At 40.5% G+C, this 18,440-nt stretch overlaps 1 annotated feature.

Moving 5' to 3' along the window:
* Window positions 13,757-13,806: an enhancer, noted in NCBI's record as "active region_3177". NCBI's record gives its function as "activates an Ori minimal core promoter by ATAC-STARR-seq in GM12878 lymphoblastoid cells {active_cell/tissue: GM12878}" and the evidence as "EXISTENCE:reporter gene assay evidence [ECO:0000049][PMID:35858748]".

Raw genomic sequence — 18,440 nt, forward strand, 5'->3', positions numbered from 1 at the left:
TTAACACAATAAATTATGTTAATTGAATTAATGAGAATGTCTTGTTTTCATGTTCATAGACAGAAAAGAGATAATGCCAAAATTTAAAAGAAAATTATTTTAAATGATTCAATTAGTATAGAATTGGTGCAAAATATTTCTTAAAAACATAAAAATAGACTTGTATAAATGAAAATTATGACATTACATGATTAGGCAGGTCAACATTTTTAAGACATCAAAGTACTTTAATTAATAAGTTGATTTTATGGTTGCATAGTATTCCATGGTGTATATGTACCTTTGCAAGGGCATGGATGGAGGTGGAGACCCTTATCCTTAGCAAAGGAATTCAGGAACAGAAAACCAAATATGGCATGTTCTCACTTTTAAGTGGGAGCTAAATGATGAGAACATGTGGACACAGAAAGGGAAACAACACACACTGGGGCCTATTGGAGGGTGAAAGTTGAGAGGAGAGAGAGGATCAGGAAAAATAACTAATGGACACCAGGCTTAACACCTGGGTGATGAAATAATCTGTACAACAACCCCGCCCTGCTGATAGACATTTACTTATGTAACAAACCTGCACATCCTGCACATGTACCCCTGAGATTAAAATAAAAGTTAAAAAAATAAAATAAGTTGATTTTAACTCCAATTAACTTACAATTTTATTGTAAAGAAGAGCAAAAAAATTAAAGTATCCATGAAAAATCTGAAAACTAAAAGACAGTGACTTCTCCTTCAAAACATTGTAGAGACTTGGAAATTAAAATTGTGTTGTGTTGGGAGGCCGAGGCGGGCGGATCATGAGGTCAGGAGATCGAGACCAACCTGGCTAACACAGTGAAACCCCGTCTCTACTAAAAATACAAAAAAATTAGCCAGGTGTTGTGGCGGGCACCTGTAGTCCCAGCTACTCGGGAGGCTGAGGCAGGAGAATGGTGTGAACCTGGGAGGCAGAGCTTGCAGTGAGTCGAGATCGGGCCACTGCACTCCAGCCTGGAAAGAGACTCCCTTTCAAAAAAAATAAAAATGAAAATAAAAATAAAAATAAATAAAGAAAATACATTTTTCAACTTTAGAAATACCAAAGACACATCACTATAAATCCTGTACATACTGAAAAATAATGAGCAACTACTATGAAAAATTCTTGCCAATAATTTTGATAATCTAGATTAAATGGAAAAATTACTTTTAAAAGATTAAATTAGTAGAATTCACTCTAGAAGAAAAAGAAAATTGAATTGAAATAGCTCTCTAATAAGTTAAAACAAATATATAATCTAATAATTTTTCTATGCAAAACAAAGATGGAAAGAAAACCCCAAAGATGAGATTTGTCTTCACTTGTTGTTTGTCCATTATGTCCATTTTGTGCTTCTGTAACCAAATACCAGGGACTGGGTAATTTATAAAAACCAGAAGTTTATTTCCTATAGTTCTGGAAGCTGGGAAGTCCAACATCAAGGTGCCAGCAGGTTTGGTGTCTGGTAAGAGCTGGGTCTCCACTTGTAAGATGGTGCCTTAAGGGCTGCATCCTTCAGAAGGGAGAAACAATCTTCCTTACACGACAGAGGACTGGAAGAGAAAAGAGAATCCACTTCTGAAAGCCCCTTTTAAAAGGCATTACCCTCACCCATGAAGGTGGAGCACTCATGGCCTAATCACCTCTTAAAGGTCCCAGCTCCCAATACCATTACATTAGCAAAGAAATTTTGACACGAGTTTTGGAGGAGACAAACATTTAAACTATATCATTGGTGAAGTCTAGTAAATATTAAAATAAATAATCCCAATCTCACATCAGCTACTTCAAAAACAGAGAATAAGGGAACGTTTCTCAACTTATTTTATGAAGCTAGTGTTATCCAATCAAATCCTAAGACGATTTTGGAAGAAACTAAGTTTCAATTTCTTGTGTGAAAACGTACATGGAAAAATAATATAGAACAGCCAAAACACTTTCAAAATAGACAAACAGCTGGAGGGTTTGTTATATCTGAATTCAAAACCTACTTTAAAGTTTTAATAATGAAGATGGTGGGGATAGATATTTAGATAGAGATAAAGTGCAGTAGAACAATGTAAGCAATAGAGACAGTTTATTTCTGTGAGAAATAGACTCATAATTATATGAGCTATTGACTTTCAAAAATGTACCAAGATAATTAAACTGATGAACATTAAATTAAAAGGTGGAGATTTTTGTGGGAAGATGAAACTTAAAACTTGGTGGTGAGTCTTGTTGAGAGGGTGACAACTGAGCAAAGACTTGAAGAAGGTGTAACAGTTAACAGTGCAGATGCCTGGGGGAAGAGCGTTCTATAAAGAGGGAGTACCCGGGAAGGCATCCCATACAAGGCATGTACCTGGTGTTCAGAGAACCACAGGGAGGACTGTGAACTTAAGTAGTGTGAGCAGGGCAAGGTATTATGCACGAAGTCAGAGATACCGGGCTCCAGATCATGTATATCTTACACACTGGGCTCAAGTGATTCTCCGGCCATGATACTGAGAAACAAGGGGAGTCAGTTCCAGTCTTTAGCTTTGATACTGACAGAACAGGGAAGTCAGCTCCAGTCTTGATTATGAACTTGAGCTTCATGAACTTGCACAAAATGGGTAATTAAATGTGTCATCATATCTTCTAATATAAAATCAGGAAATTGTACCTTAGAACTTCTAAGATTCCCACAGACCGTGATTCTAAGATATTTAAAATCCAAACAAAGATAGTTTTTTTTGCTGTGCAGAAGCTCTGTAGTTTAACTAGATACCATTTGTCAATTTTGGCTTTTCTTGCAATTGCTTTTGGTGTTTTAGTCATGAAGTCTTTGTCGATGCCGATGTTCTGAATGATGTTGCCTAGGTTTTCTTCTAGGGTTTTGATGGTTTTTGGTTTTCCATTTACTTATTTATTTATTTATTTATTTATTTTTGAGATGGAGTCTTGCTCTGTCGCCAGGCTGGAGTGCAGTGGCACGATCTCGGCTCACTGCAACCTCTGTCTCCCCGGTTCAAGAGATTCTCCTGCCTCAGCCTCCTGAGTAGCTGGGATTACAGGTGCACACCACCATGCCCAGCTACTTTAGTAGAGATGGGGTTTCACCATGTTGGTTAGGCTGGTCTCAAACTCCCCACCACCTCGGCCTCCCAAAGTGCTGGGATTACAGGTGTGAGCCACTGCACCTGGCCAGGTTTTACGTTTAAGTCTTTAATCCACCTTGAGTTAATTTTTGTGTAAGGTGTAAGGAGGGGGTCCATTTTCTGCTTTCTGCATATCATCAGAGTGAACAGGTGATCTACAGAATGGGAGAAAATTTTTGCAATCTATCCATGTGACAAAGTTTTAATATCCAGAATCTATAAGGAACTTAAACAAATTTACAATAAAAAACAAATAACCCCATCAAAAAGTGGGCAAAGGATATGAACAGACACTTCTCAAAAGAAGACATTTATGTGGTCAACAAGCCTATGAAAAAAAAAGCTCATCATCACTCGTCACTAGACAAATGCAAATCAAAACCACAGTGAGATACCATCTCACTTAGAATGGCGATTATTATTAAAAAGTAGGAAATAACAGATACTGATGAGGCTGTGGAGAAATAGGAACGCTTTTACACTGTTGGTGGGAGTGTAAATTAGTTCAACCATCATGGAAGACAGTGTGGCAATTCTTCAAAGAACTAGAACCAGAAATACCATTTGACCCAGCAATCCCATTACTGGATATATACCCAGAGGACGAGTTATTCTACTATAAAGACACATGCACACATATGTTTATTGCAGGACTGTTTACAACACCAAGACTTGGAACCAACCCAAGTGCCCATAAATGATAGACTGCATAAAGAAAATGTGGCACATATAGGCCGGGTGTGGTGGCTCACGCCTGTAATCCCAGCACTTTGGGAGGCTGAAGCAGGCGGATCACGAAGTCAGGAGATCGAGACCATCCTGGCTAACACAGTGAAACCCCGTCTCTACTAAAAGTACAAAAAATTAGCCAGGAGTGGTCATGGGCACCTGTAGTCTCAGCTACTTGGGAGGCTGAGGCAGGAGAATGGCATGAACCCGGGAGTCAGAGCTTGCAGTGAGCCGAGATTGTTCCACTGCACTGCAGCCTGGTCGACAGAGCAAGACTCCATCTCAAAAACAAAGTTAAAAAAAAAGAAAATGTGGCACATATACACCATGGAATACTATGCAGCCATAAAAAAGAATGAGTTAATGTCCTTTGCAGGGACATAAATGAAGCTAGAAGCCATCATTCTCAGCAAACTAACACAGGAACAGAAAACCAAACAACACATGTTCTCACTCATAAGTGGGAGTTGAAGAATGAGAACACATGGACACAGGGAGGGAAACATCACACACTGGGGCCTGTTGAGGGTTGTGGGGCAAGGGTAAGGAGAGAATTAGGACAAATACCTAATGCCTGTGGAGCTTAAAATTTATATGATGGGTTGATAGATGCAGCAAACCACCATGGCACATACATATCTATGGAACAAACCTGCACATTCTGCACATATATCCCAGAACTTAAAGTAAAATAAAATATATACATATAAATATATAAAAAATATATATAAATAGAATAAAATGCAAACAAAGAAATACAGAACAAACTAACAAAAGCTACTATGAAATTAGAAAACTGACATTTCAGTGAGGATGTATTTAAAAGAGGGTAGATATTTTTAAGTGTGAAAATCTCAGAGACATAAATTTGGCAAGTGATGGCACTGGAATTTAAACAGAAAAAAAATAAAGCCTAGTCTCTACGGAAATAAACAAAAAACAAATACATAACTGAGATGAATCTCAGAACACTGGATAATTTTGGTTTGGAAAAGTGTTTCTGTTTGGGACAAGACCTTCTTTGTCTAGTTAAAGTTACTGATGAGGCTAACAGGACACATATGCTATTTATTTATTTTTACTATAGGCAGAATATTATGTCTTTATCTTGTATCTTCAAAGAAACTAATAGCTGTGTAATATGGGGGGAATTTACAAAACGTATTTAAAGGCATGTTTATCTGTTAAGACTTAACTGGCCTACAAAATAGTCGTTTGTTGGCAAACTATCAAGTTTTTATCGGGGAATTTAGACAAGTCTGTTGGGTCACAGAAGAGGGTCTATAAATTGGAGGACTGAAAGTGGATTTACAGTTCCTGATCAGTCTAGTAACTCATCCTTGCTTTTAGATGCCTTGGCTTAAAGACCTCAGCTCTTGAGGATATATTATCACACTGCCTTCAGAAAAGGGTTGAGGAGCTCCCCTTTCAAAGAACTGGCCTACACCAGTGCTTTTCTGTTCAGCTTTTCTGGTGATTACTTAAGGATTAAGGGATAAAGGATGCTATTTAGTGTCCTTGCCTCTCCTGGTCCAGTTTCAAAGAATTCTAAACCCAGAGTCCAAGAGTCAATGCTACCTCAAAAGAAAGGGAAGGTTACTTGGTGTCCAGGTACCACGTGCAGTGAAAGAGGTGTGCCTCATGGCCAGGAAACTCAGGTCAGCGTCCTGGAAGAGATGGTTCACACTCAGGGCTGGAGTCAAAGCAGAATCCACTGGGCTGTCAATCAAATGTCCAGCAATCATTACTGGGCCCATTTAACTCTCACTAGCATGCTTTTGTTTTCATGTGCTTCTAGAAGTGTCATTGGACAGGATGATTTTGGCCCAGATCAGTGCTCCTGTTTGAGACAAGAACTTCTCTGCAGGGTTAAAGCTACTCATAGATTCTCACTGACCTCATTGCCTTCAAATAACTAAAGATAAGTTTAATTCAACATATTTTTTATACTGAGTATCTCTTATGTGCCAAATGTTACTCATGGTATTACAGAAGATTATAAAAATAATAAGGTACATTGTAGAGAAATAAGTTCTAGAGCGTTTCTGTTCAAACCAGTAGCCACTTACCTATGTGTAGCTATTGAACACTTGATATGTGGTTAGTCCAAGCTGAGATGTACCTGAACTATACAATGCACAATGGATTTCAAAGACTTAGTATGAAAAATATGTAATATTTCATTCATAATTTTATATTGGTTATATGTTGAAATAATTATATTTTAGATAAAATTAAAATATTACTAAACTTGATATCCCTACATTTTTTACCTTTTCAAATATGGCTACTAGAAAATTTTAAATGACATAATCACTCACATTATATTTCTACTGGATACCTTCGCTCTAGAGGGAAAAGACTGTCATAAATTTTTAGGTGGGATTACTAACTAGATTGTGCAAAATACTATAACTGAGACCTTTTTCAATGCACTAGAAGAATAGGAAGAAGTTCATAAGTCATGGACAGGAAAAGAAGGGATTTGCTCTGTGCTCTAAAGCATGGGTAAATCTGAATATTACACAACTATAAAAACTCTGAAAACTTAATTTATCTCAGTCTTCCTTACACATAACACCTGCTGTCCTGCACTAAACTTTTCTCCTGCCAATACATCACACAATTTTCTCTTACGATTTGGAAAATTCTATTGCTGATTAAATTCTATTTTTATTATTACAAGGGATCATATGCCTTAAGGTTTTATTTTTAAAACTTTTTTCAATAATATTGTCACCAATACCAATATGGTCATCACACTGTTTCATCATCATTAGTTTTGTTTTTTTGTTTGTTTGTCTTTTTGAGACAGAGCCTAGCTCTGTCTCCTGGGTTCAAGCAATTCTCATGCTTCAGCCTCCCTAGTAGCTAAGACTACAGGTGCACCCCACCACACCCAACTAATTTTTATATTTTTAGGAGATATGAGGTTTCACCATGTTAGCCAGGCTGGTCTCCAACTCCTGGCCTCATGTGATCGACCTGCCTCGGCCTCCCAAAGTGCTGGTGAGAGGTGACAGCATGCTGGCAGCCCTCGCTCACTCTCGGCGCCTCCTCGGCCTCGGCGCCCACTCTGGCTGTGCTTGAGGAGCCCTTCAGCCCACCGCCACACTGTGGGAGCCCCGCTCTGGGCTGGCTGAGGCCGGAGCTGGCTCCCTCTGCTTGCGGGAGGTGTGGAAGGAGAGGCGTGGGCAGGAACTGGGGCTGCACGTGGCAATCGCGAGCCAGCGCGAGTTCCAGGTGGGTGTGGGCTCCGTGGGCCCCACACTCGGATTGGCTGGCCGGCACCCCTGGCCCTGGGCAGTGAGGGGCTTAGCACCTGGGCCAGCAGCTGTGGAGGGTGCACCCGGACCCCCAGCAGTGCCAGCCCGACGGCACTGTGCTCAAATTCTCGCTGGGCCTCAGCTGCCTCCCCGGGGGCAGGGCTTGGGACCTGCAGCCTGCCATGCCTAAGCCTCCCCCCGAGCTGTGGGCTCCTGTGGGGCCCGAGCCTCCCTGACGAGAGCCACCCCCTGCTCTGCAGCACCCGGTCCCATCAACCACCCAAGGGCTGAGGAGTGCAGACGCATGGTGCGGGACTGGCGGGCAGCTCCACCTGCAGCCCCTGTGCAGGATACACTAAGTGATGCTAGCTGGGTCCCTGAGTCTACTGGGGACTTGGAGAACTTTTATGTCTAGCTGGAGGATTGTATATACACCAATGAGCACCGTGTCTAGCTCAAGGTTTGTAAATGCACCAATCAGTGCTCTGTATCTAGCTAATCTGGTGGGGACTTGGAGAACCTTTATGCCTAGCTAAGGGATTGTAAATACACCAATCAGTACTCTGTGTCTAGCTCAAGGTTTGTAAACACACCAATCAACACCCTGTGTCTAGCTCAAGGTTTGTAAATGCACCAATCAGTGCTCTGTGTCTAGCTAATCTAGTGGGGACTTGCAGAACTTTCATATCTAGCTAGAGGATTGTAAATGCACCAATCAGCACTCTGTGTCTAGCTCAAGATTTGTAAATGCCAATCAGCACCCTGTGTCTAGCTCCAGATTTGTAAATGCCAATCAGCACTCTGTATCTAGCTAATCTGGTGGGGACTTGGAGAACTTTTATGTCTAGCTAAAGGATTGTAAATGCACCAATCAGTACTCTGTGTCTAGCTCAAGGTTTGTAAACGCACCAATCAGCACCCTGTGTCTAGTTCAAGGTTTGTAAATGCACCAATCAATCCTCTGTGTCTAGCTAATCTAGTGGAGACTTGAAGAACTTTTAGGTCTAGCTAGAGGATTGTAAATACACCAATCAGCACTAATCAGCACTCTGTGTCTAGCTCAGGGATTGTAAACGCACCAATCAGTGCCGTGTCAAAACAGACCAGTCAGCTCTCTGTAAAATGGACCAATCAGCTCTCTGTAAAATGGACCAATCAGCAGGATGTGGGTGTGGCGTGGTAAGGGAATAAAAGCAGGCTGCTGGATCCCGTAGTGGCAACTCTCTAGGTTCCCCTTCCATGCTGCAGAGGCTTTTTTCTTTTGCTATTTTCAATAAATCTTGCTGCTGCTCACTCCTTGGGTCCACACTGCTTTAATGAGCTGTAACACTGACTGTGAAGTTCTGCAGCTTCACTCCTGAGGCCAGCGAGACCACGAACCCACCGGGAGAAATGAACAACTACAGATGCGCCACCTTAAGAGCTGTAACACTCACCATGAGGGTCTGCAGCTTCATTCCTGAAGTCGGTGAGACCATGAACCCACCAATTTTGGGCACGCTGGGATTACAGGCATGAGCCATCGCCCCCAGCCATCATTGTAATTTAATACGTATCAACTTGTCTTGGATACTCAGTACCAATTGAATACAAGTATTCTCTTGTTAAAGAGAAACTCATTTAGTTAACAATCTAGAAATAGAATTTCTGATGCTATTTATAATAGATATCTGAGCTCCTTTCCTCTGTAAGGATCACTGGGATCTAAAATTAACCAGTCTGCAGCAGGGACCACTCACTCTTAAACCCTACTCTAGGGCACCAATTTATTAATTCTAACCACGTCACCATTTGCAACCGGTCACATTAGCTTGATTGGTAACCACCTTAAAAATACACCATAAACCTTGGAATCCAAAATTGCTATTCCTCATTTTCATTTTCTAAAACATATTTTGATCCTCATAAATTAAACAATTTGCTGAAAATTGCTGCTTTTCACTGTGAAGGAGCTACACAGAGTCAAGATCTTCCCTTTTTTGAATCTTCTCCCCATACCCCTGACACCCTCACCAGGCCCTGAAACCAATCAAAGCCATACCTGGCAAGTTTATACAAGTAAATTAAAAAAACAAAACAAAACCACTAAAATGACTGGGCGCAGTGGCTCATGCCTGTAATCCCAGCACTTTGGGAGGCTGAGGTGGGTGGATCACGAGGTCAGGAGTTTGTAACCAGCCAGACCAATATGGTGAAACTCTGACTCTACTAAAAATACAAAAATTAGCTGGGTGTGATGGCATGTGCCTGTAATCCCAGCTACTCAGGAGGCTGACGCAGGAGAATCGTTTGAACCCGGGAGGCAGTGGTTGCAGTGAGCTCAGATCGTGCCATTGCACTCCAGTCTGGGCGACAGAGCAAGACTTCATCTAAAAAAAAAAACAAAAAATGAAAAAAAAAAACCACCTAAAATTTTGTGATCTATCAAATGATCTCTAATTTCATTGAAATAGGAAGGGTCTATCCTCTACACCACATATTTAATACAGGTATACTGATGTGTGCTCTTGTCCAAGACATGGTTCCTCATGTATACAACTTTGAAGGCTTTCATGGTAGTCCACTTTTGTGGTCAGGACTTCTTTCAGTATGGACCTTCTGATTAGTCTCTAGTTGGAGGTGCTAATCCATTATTCCTTTTGCTTCAGTCTCATTAGAAGAGGGCACCAGACTGCTTTTCAATGTAGAAGCAAGAGGCGGCATAGGAAGGAAAGGGGGAGGCAACACTTTCTGAGAGCCTTGCTTCATGTCAGAAGCTGCCACTACACAAAGCTCTATTTTATCAATTTGGAAATGAAATCTCAGAAAGATCAAGTATGTGTCAGAGAGCAAGTAAGTGGAAATGGGCTTCAAGCATGGTTCCATGTAGCTCTTAACCACCCTCTTTTCTTTTATCGTCTGTTAATATATGAAAGCACATATTTGTGTGTTTTTTGAAAGTGTTTTCAGAATCAGTGATAGGAGGAAATTTGTTGAAATGGTAAATACAGAACCTAGGCATCCCTGGGACTTTGCATGCTCAGGCCTGGTGCTGAGATCAGGAGGTGATTTTCCTCATTTCACAGCAGCCCTTAGAAGTGCAGGTGATGACATCCTGGACGCCGCCCATCTCCAGGCTCTGCTTTGAATTTGTTTCCATCTGAGGCTAATATTAGGTCAAATTTCCAATCTTCAGACTTCCAATGTTTAGCAATAAAAACCAAGTTTTACAATATCTGTTTTGTTCAAACTCTTCTCTGAGGTGATTCAATACCTAGCATATCTGGAAAACTAAAATTACTTGAACTAACTGATAAAATGAAACAAAAATCTCATAATTTTTAGGCACCACCTGTTAATTTATTGGTTTGGATGTCTTAGTGTTGTTCTAATAAACGATTTGTTAGGTCTTGGTATGTGGTTAAGTTGGAATACAAGTAAGATACCTCCACACCAAAGGTCTAAAACGTTCAGCAGATGGGTTCTTGGCTATTTTCCAAAACAGCACAGTAATGTGAACACATCAATAAATGTAATTTTTGAAAACCTTTTGAGCATACATGGCCTCCATGTAAATGGCACTTTTGGCACCGTCTAAAGTCATCATGTTGTGATAGTGTGGTACCAGCTGTGCACATACATTTATATCAGGGGATTACTAATGTCTGATTAGAATTCTTGCTTATTAATAAAATTTAGGGTAGAATAGAATGCGAATTATAGAAAGGGAAGCAAAAATATACACACTTTTGAGAAAATACCTTCACCGTTTCTAAATTAAATTTAATTTTCTTGTTTCACAGATGAGAAAATCAAAGCCCGTATCATCTGCTTCACGTCCCGCATTTACTTAACGCTGTAAGCATAGAACGCTGTTCCCAGTGACTACCCCTCCATCCCCGGTTCTGTGATTTCAGAGACAGTCGTGGTATCCTTGAGGGCAGGCATTGGTTTTTTTTTTAAATTTATTACAATATTTAGCTTATTCCTAGTAGAGAGCAGTCAATGGATACATTTTCCAAATTGAATTGACTTCATGTAAGTGAATTTTTTAATAAACAGCAAATTTACACGGTGAATATTACCTTTTCAGAATCTGTTTATTATATTAATATTGATTTCTCAACATTATACCTCTATTAAAAACTCTTTGTTAATGAAGGGTTTTGACACTAAAAAATAAACTAATATATAGCATAACACTGAAGTTTAAGAAAATTATTGTATGAAACATTCAGTAAAAGCAAGCACTTACTACCCTGTCAGTCCAAAATGTAATATTGTGCAATAGCCTTTAAATTGTATTGTTATAAAAATGTTGCTTAACTGGGCCCTTAGGAATTAATAACGGTTCTAAAAATAAACTAAATGGATTATTTTCCTTGGCCTCCATTTTATGTCCTAAATGGTATTTCTGTGTTCAGTCATCTTTTTTATTGCGAAAATTTGTCTAACATCTAGGAATTGCTTTGGGAAAAGACATTCTACCCATAAAGTTGAATTTCTTTCTTTTTTTTCTCAGAAGAGAGGAAATTAGGTTACCCACACCACCACCATTCTCATTCCAGACTGAACTTTCTTTTTCTTGAAGTGCTCTTTGAGCCTATGTGGTTCCAACATGAGTCTCCATGTGGGGTATGTTAAGGGATGCTGTCAGAACAATGACTTCTATAGAAGCCCAACGAACTGGCAGAAACATGTACCCCGAAAGATGATCGACTCAGATACTGCTGCAGTGCAAAAGGACAGGCAAGGAGAAAGTGTGAGTTATAGACATGGTTCAGGCCAGCCAACTCAGGGTAACTTGAGTCTACCCATGCGAATACTAGCCACTTGCATTTTCACATAGTCCAAGAGTTGATCTGGGCTAGCAAAATTAAGCTTATTTACTACAAGGAGAAATCCACTTTCTTAAAATCCATTTTGAATAAAAGTTTGAGTACAGCCAGGTTGGAATGTACTCTTCAAGAGCAGGTATTAAGTCTTTTTTTTTTTTTTTTTTTTTTTTTTGAGATGGAGTCTTGCTCTGTCGCCCAGGCTGGAGTGCAGTGGCATGATCTCAGCTCACTGCAAGTTCCACCTCCCGGGTTCACACCATTCTCCTGCCTCAGCCTCCCGAGTAGCTGGGACTACAGGTGCCAGCCACCATGCCCAGCTAACTTTTTTGTATTTTTAGTAGAGATGGGGTTTCACCGTGTTAGCCAGAATGGTCTCGATCTCCTGACCTCATGTTCCACCTGCCTTGGCCTCCCAAAGTGCTCGTATTACAGGTGTGAGCCACTGTGCCCGGCCTTTTTAAGCTTATTAGGCCATAAAGAAGACAGCACAATGTTTTCACATTATAGTCTACTGAGTTTTACTAGAATGCTTTTTATGACATTAAATTTGTAAATATGTTTTAAAGGTAAAAATGTTGTTTGCTATTTCAAAGAATAAATTATTTTTAGAAATTTTAAAGACTGTATTTTCATGTTAGTAATTTACAGTTAAATCTCACCTCATTATCCTCATCTGTAAAATGGGATAGTAATAAATTTTGGTTGTAAGAATATGAGGACTAAGTGGTTAATGCCATTAGCACTTAGAACAGCGACTTGCAATGTAACTTCTTACTCCAGCTCCTCACACCCTGCCAGTCACTGGAACTTTAATTTCCCTGGCCTATCAGGGGCTCTCAAGGGACTCAGGAATCCCCCCAAAAAAACTACCTGAGGCTTCAAAGGAAAAAGGCTGATTTGAAACAAACTGGATGTTCTATCCACTGAGGTGAGCTCTGGAGACATCCCAACAGCTTCTTGATGTCCCCTCAGTCTCTTGTCTCCATAAGATCACACATCAGGACAAAAGAAAATCTTCAAAGTCTCCTTCAAATATGCTGGTAAAACGCACTAACCTTACATTCAGTAGGTAACCTTAACTATGCTATAATCTTTTAAATGAAAACCATAAGATCTTTATTTGCATCTGTCTTTCCGTTCAAGAATACACACATATATATACACATAATACACATATATTATATATATAATAATTCCATGTGATACAGTACTACTTCCCATATGTTATCATGTTATGTGACAATGCCTGAATAGAATTACCAATCAATTTATAGTAATAAAATTACTTTTTAAATTTCTGTCCTAATTGGCTTAGAAAGAAAGAAGCACACACATAAAATAAATCTTCCTAAATTTCCATTCAACTGTCTTTCACGTTCACATGCGTTGGATAAATCTTTGATACAATGCCTGCCTAAGAAAACTCAGGGCTGCAAAAATAACCCATTGTTTGTTCTAGCCAACACCTGAAGATAGGGCCCCTGTCTTCCAGTCTCTGTGGGAGAGTAGGAGCCTAGTTAACTTCAATAAGTGCTGGTTAACCCAGATGGCTGTCACATTTCACTTTCACTGACAATTTTCACTTCCCTAATTCCACTGAGCCCCACTCATTCCCCTCATAATTCCTTCATTCTCCCTTTAAAACACCCACTCACCTCTGTATAAATTGTAGTTGGGGTCAGTTCATCCTGGACTCTTGCTCAACCTTCAGGAGTCAGAGAAAAAACATCTAAAGGGAGTGGGAGAAAAATCAGACAAAATGTGTCAATAAAGTCAGTAGCAGAAGAAAGTGCTCGAGGAAGGAGAAGTGTTCATTCTATTAAATGAGAAGGAGGTCACTGGTGACCCTGGGGTAGGGTGATGAAGGTGAAAGCCAGATTGGAAGAGGGCAATGAGGCGGGAGGCTGTTAGGAATACATTGTCCAGGGCCTTACTTGTTTCACTAGGAAAACTGGAATTAGTCCAATCAGCATTGGGAGCTAACAGATTTCCACCTACCAGGGGGATATAATTGTTTTTGTAATACAGAGACTTAACTTGGCAGCAGTGTGTGAGGTAGATGGGCCGTGTTCGGAACAAGACTGGCAGTAGGAATGCAATTTAGAGGTCTATGGCCATAATCCAGTTAATAGAGGGCCATCACTGAATAGCATTTAAGCAAGATATATAAAGGAAACTGATCCAGCCTCTTTCTCTCATGCTTTACCCCCCACATGTACATTAAATCATCATCTTTCTTCATTTCCACTTTATATAAGGTACCACATTTTAAGAAACATCCCTTTAGAGGAGAAGTTTCCCTCCACCCTCAATGGCTTCTAAAATAAAATATAATGTTCCCAGTAAAATAATTGTGGAAAGAAGTCTAGCTATTTTAAAAAGAACTACTAGGAAATAAAAACATTCAACTTTTCAAAACTCAAGGCAGGCAAACAACTGACAGGTTCACAATCTACTCAGTATTGAAGTTCATTTCCTATTAATAAGACATTTACTGAAGAAACACAATTATGATGCATTTTAATATATTCTAAAATTAATTTTATCACGCAATTAATTAGGACAATAAAATGCTTTCTTTTAATTGACATAGGAAGCAAATGAGGGCCCTTAGGATGCTTCACGTATTACTCATTTGAAAAAGGAGTGGAGCAACTGAAACCATAGACCAGACTTTGAAATGATTAATGGTAATAAGTAATAAAAATATCCATTCCAGTATGTTTTTTGTTTTTTGTTTTTAGCTTTCCCCTAGACACTTTTCTAAAACAAGAGGACACGTCAAAAACACTTTTGAAAATTGATAGTGCTTTAGAATTAGTGAACAACATTCCAGAAATATAAATTTGACTTAGTTAAAGGGCATAAAAATAAAACTTTCAAGACAAGCCTAAATGATCTATAATGTTGTTAAAACAAAAGCAGATAGACACTCTTACTCCAGCAGGAGCTGGAGTAAGATCAAGACCATCCTGGCCAACATGGTGAAACCCCGTCTCTCCTAAAAATACAAAAACTAGCTGGGCGTGGTGGTGCACGCCTGTAATCCCAGCTACTCAGGAGGCTGAAGGAGGAGAATTGCCTGAACCAGGGAGTTGGAAGTTGCGGTGAGCCGAGATCGCGCTACTGCCCTCCAGCCTGGAGACAGAGCGAGACTCCATCTCAAAAAAAAAAGGCCAGACGCGGTGGCTCACGCCTGTAATCCCAGCATTTTGGGAGGCCGAGGCGGGCGGATCAAGAGGTCAGGAAATCGAGACCATCCTGGCTAACACGGTGAAACCCCGTCTCTACTAAAAAAATACAAAAAAAAATTAGCCGGGCATGGTGGCAGGCGCCTGTAGTCCCAGCTACTTCGGAGGCTGAGGCAGGAGAATGGCGTGAACCCGGGAGGCGGAGCTTGCAGTGAGCCGAGATGGCACCATCGCACTCCAGCCTGGGTGACAGAGCGAGACTCCGCCTCAAAAACAAAACAAAACAAAAAAAGTCAGCTCTTTGTAAAAGTCTATCTCTTTGTAAAAGTTAATTCATAATATGCCATTGCCAATAACTGAAGATGGTATCAGTGTTCTCTAGATGTTTAAAATATTGTAAGACATTTGTTCATATACAAATTGTTAATTATCTTGTTTGCTTTTCGGCTTTTTTTTTTTTTTCTTTTTAGATGGAGGCTCGCTCTGTCGCCCAGGCTGGAGTGCAGTGGCGCGATCTCAGTTCACTGCAAGCTCCGCCTCCTGGGTTCACGCCATTCTCCTGCCTCAGCCTCCCGAAGAGCTGGGACTACAGGCACCCGCCACCACGCCAGCTAAGTTTTTTTGTATTTTTAGTAGAGACAGGGTTTCACCGTGTTAGCCAGGATGGTCTCGATCTCCTGACCCCGTGATCCACCCGCCTCGACCTTCCAAATTGCTGGGATTACAGGCGTGAACCACCACGCCCAGCAGCTTTTGGGCTTTTTAAAAAGAATTAAGGGCTACTCCTTTTAGTAAACATGTACACTCTCTGTATTGAAAAAATCAGATTGTGAATTGACTTGCTATCCTTTCCTTCAATCCAAACTTTAGCCTTGAATGCAAAAGTGGCACGGGATTCGGAGTAAATTAAGTGAAAAGAGAAATGTTCAGTAGCAACAGAAGAAAATTAATGCTAATAACTCATTTTTAAAAAGCAACATATTGGCCAGGCATGGTGGCTCATGCCTGTAATCCCAGCATTTTGGGAGGCAGAGGCGGGTGGATCACATGAGGTCAGAAGTTCGAGACCAGCCTGGACAACATGGTGAAACCCCGTTTCTATTAAAAATACAAAAAACGAGCCGGGCCTGGCTGGTGCCAACCTGTGATCCCAGATACTCGGGAGGCTGAGGCAGGAGAATAGCTTGAACCCAGGAGGCAGGGGTTGCAGTGAGTCAATATGGCGCTACTGCACTCCAGCCTGGGGCACAGAGCGAGACTCTGTCTCAGAAAAAAAAGAAAAGAAAAAAGAATGCTTATGCTTAGGATTTAGGCTGAACTACCATTTAAATAATTGTCTCTATTGTATCCTTTCATTCTTCCTTTCCTAAGATTCCACATAGATTTTGTAGAGAAGTCCAAACTCAGCACCATTTGTTTACATTACTAAGGTCTTTAAAATTTTAAATAGATTTAAGTATTTACTTTAACCAAAACTAAATGCCTAGAGACTTACTTGTCTCCACAGAAAATGAACTTAATTCATATTTGTCTCAAACACTTGCCAAAACCTTAAGCTTAAACCCATTTTACAATGCAAGTAGTGGTTAACTATTTTGTGCATGTCTTTTTGTCTTTTCTGCCATTTTCTTAGCCAGATGTGCCAATATTTTTAAAAGATCAAAGGTTTATCCAAAATAAAGAGAAACTACAGGATTTTTTTCTCAGATTCAGTCAAGACCTGGTAAGACAGATCATTTAGGGCAAGCTTTGATCTTCTCAATGTTTATATCAGCTGAAAGGAACACCTGCACACTCAGAGTCTTTCCTAGTGATTAAATAATTTGATTTTAATTAAAAATTCACAGTAAGGAATTGGAAGAAAATGCTGGATTTCAATATACCATTTTCTCCTTCCTTTTGTTGTTTTAATGGCATAATATGCTATGTATAAGGTCAACAAGAGTAGAGACGAAAAGAACAAGTTTGGCGAGGTGCGGTGGCTCACAACTGTAATCCCAGCACTTTGGGAGGCCAAGGCGGGCGGATCACGAGGTCAGGAGGTTGAAACCATCCTGGCTAACATGGTGAAACCCCGTCTCTACTAAAAATCCAAAAAAAAAAAAAAAAAAAAAAAAAAATTAGCCAGGCGTGGTGGCAGGTGCCTGTAGTCCCAGCTACTTGGGAGGCTGCGGCAGGAGAATTGATTGAACCCAGGAGGTGGAGGTTGCAGTGAGACGAGATTGCACCACTGCACTCCAGCCTGGGTGACAGGGCGAGACTCCATCTCAAAAAAAAAAAAAAAAAAAAAGAACAAGTTTATAATTGTGGTTATATTGTCTCCTAACCTAGGAAAAAATGACAATATTGACATTAAAATTGTGCATTGTATATAATTTCCTGTGCTTTTAGTCATACTATTATCTGAGATCTTTTGTGCCTCTGGCTTTCATGGGATTTTTTTTTTTTTTTTTTTTTTTTTTTGAGACAGAATCTCACTCTGTCACCAGGCTGGAGTACAGTGGCGCGATCTCAGCTAACTGCAACCTCTGCCTCCCGGGATCAAGCGATTCCCCTGCCTCAGCCTCCCAAGTAGCTGGGATTACAGGCATGCACCACCATGCCCGGCTAATTTTTTGTATTTTAGTAGAGATGGGGTTTCATCATGTTGGCCAAGATGGTCTCGATCTCCTGACCTTGTGATCTGCCCACCTTGGCCTCCCAAAGTGCAGGGATTACGGGCGTGAGAGCCACAGCGCCCGGCCTAATTTTTTTTTTTTTTTTGGAGACGGAGTCTCGCTTTGCCGCCCAGGCTGGAGTGCAGTGGTGCCATCTCAGCTCACTGCAACCTCCGCCTCCCGGGTTCAAGCAATTCTCCGTCCCAGCCTCCTGAGTAGCTGGAATTACAGGCGCCCGCCACCGTGCCCGGCTAATTTTTTTGTATTTTTAGTAGAGACGGGGTTTCACCATCTTGGCCAGGCTGGTCTTGAACTCCTGACCTTGTGATCCATCCGCCTCAGCCTCCCAAAGTGCTAGGGTTACAGGTGTGAGCCACTGCCCCAGGCCTAGTGTGTCATTTTTAATGTTACCCATAACCAGCCTTAGAATCGTGTGGGAGTTTTTGTTTCTTTTGAAAGATGTGATTCTAAAAATCAAATTAACTTTTTTAGAACATAAAATTTATCAAAGCAAGGACATTTCTAAAAGAAATACTTGAAAAGAACAGTTGATCAGTGAATTCACCAGTAAGTTTAAGTCAATTTAAAATTAACTTAGCAAATGATATGTTCATAGCACTCTGTGGACCAGTAGGGAATACA

This window comes from Homo sapiens, chromosome 10 (genome assembly GCF_000001405.40).
Source record: "Homo sapiens chromosome 10, GRCh38.p14 Primary Assembly".
In the NCBI taxonomy this organism is placed as follows: domain Eukaryota; kingdom Metazoa; phylum Chordata; class Mammalia; order Primates; family Hominidae; genus Homo; species Homo sapiens.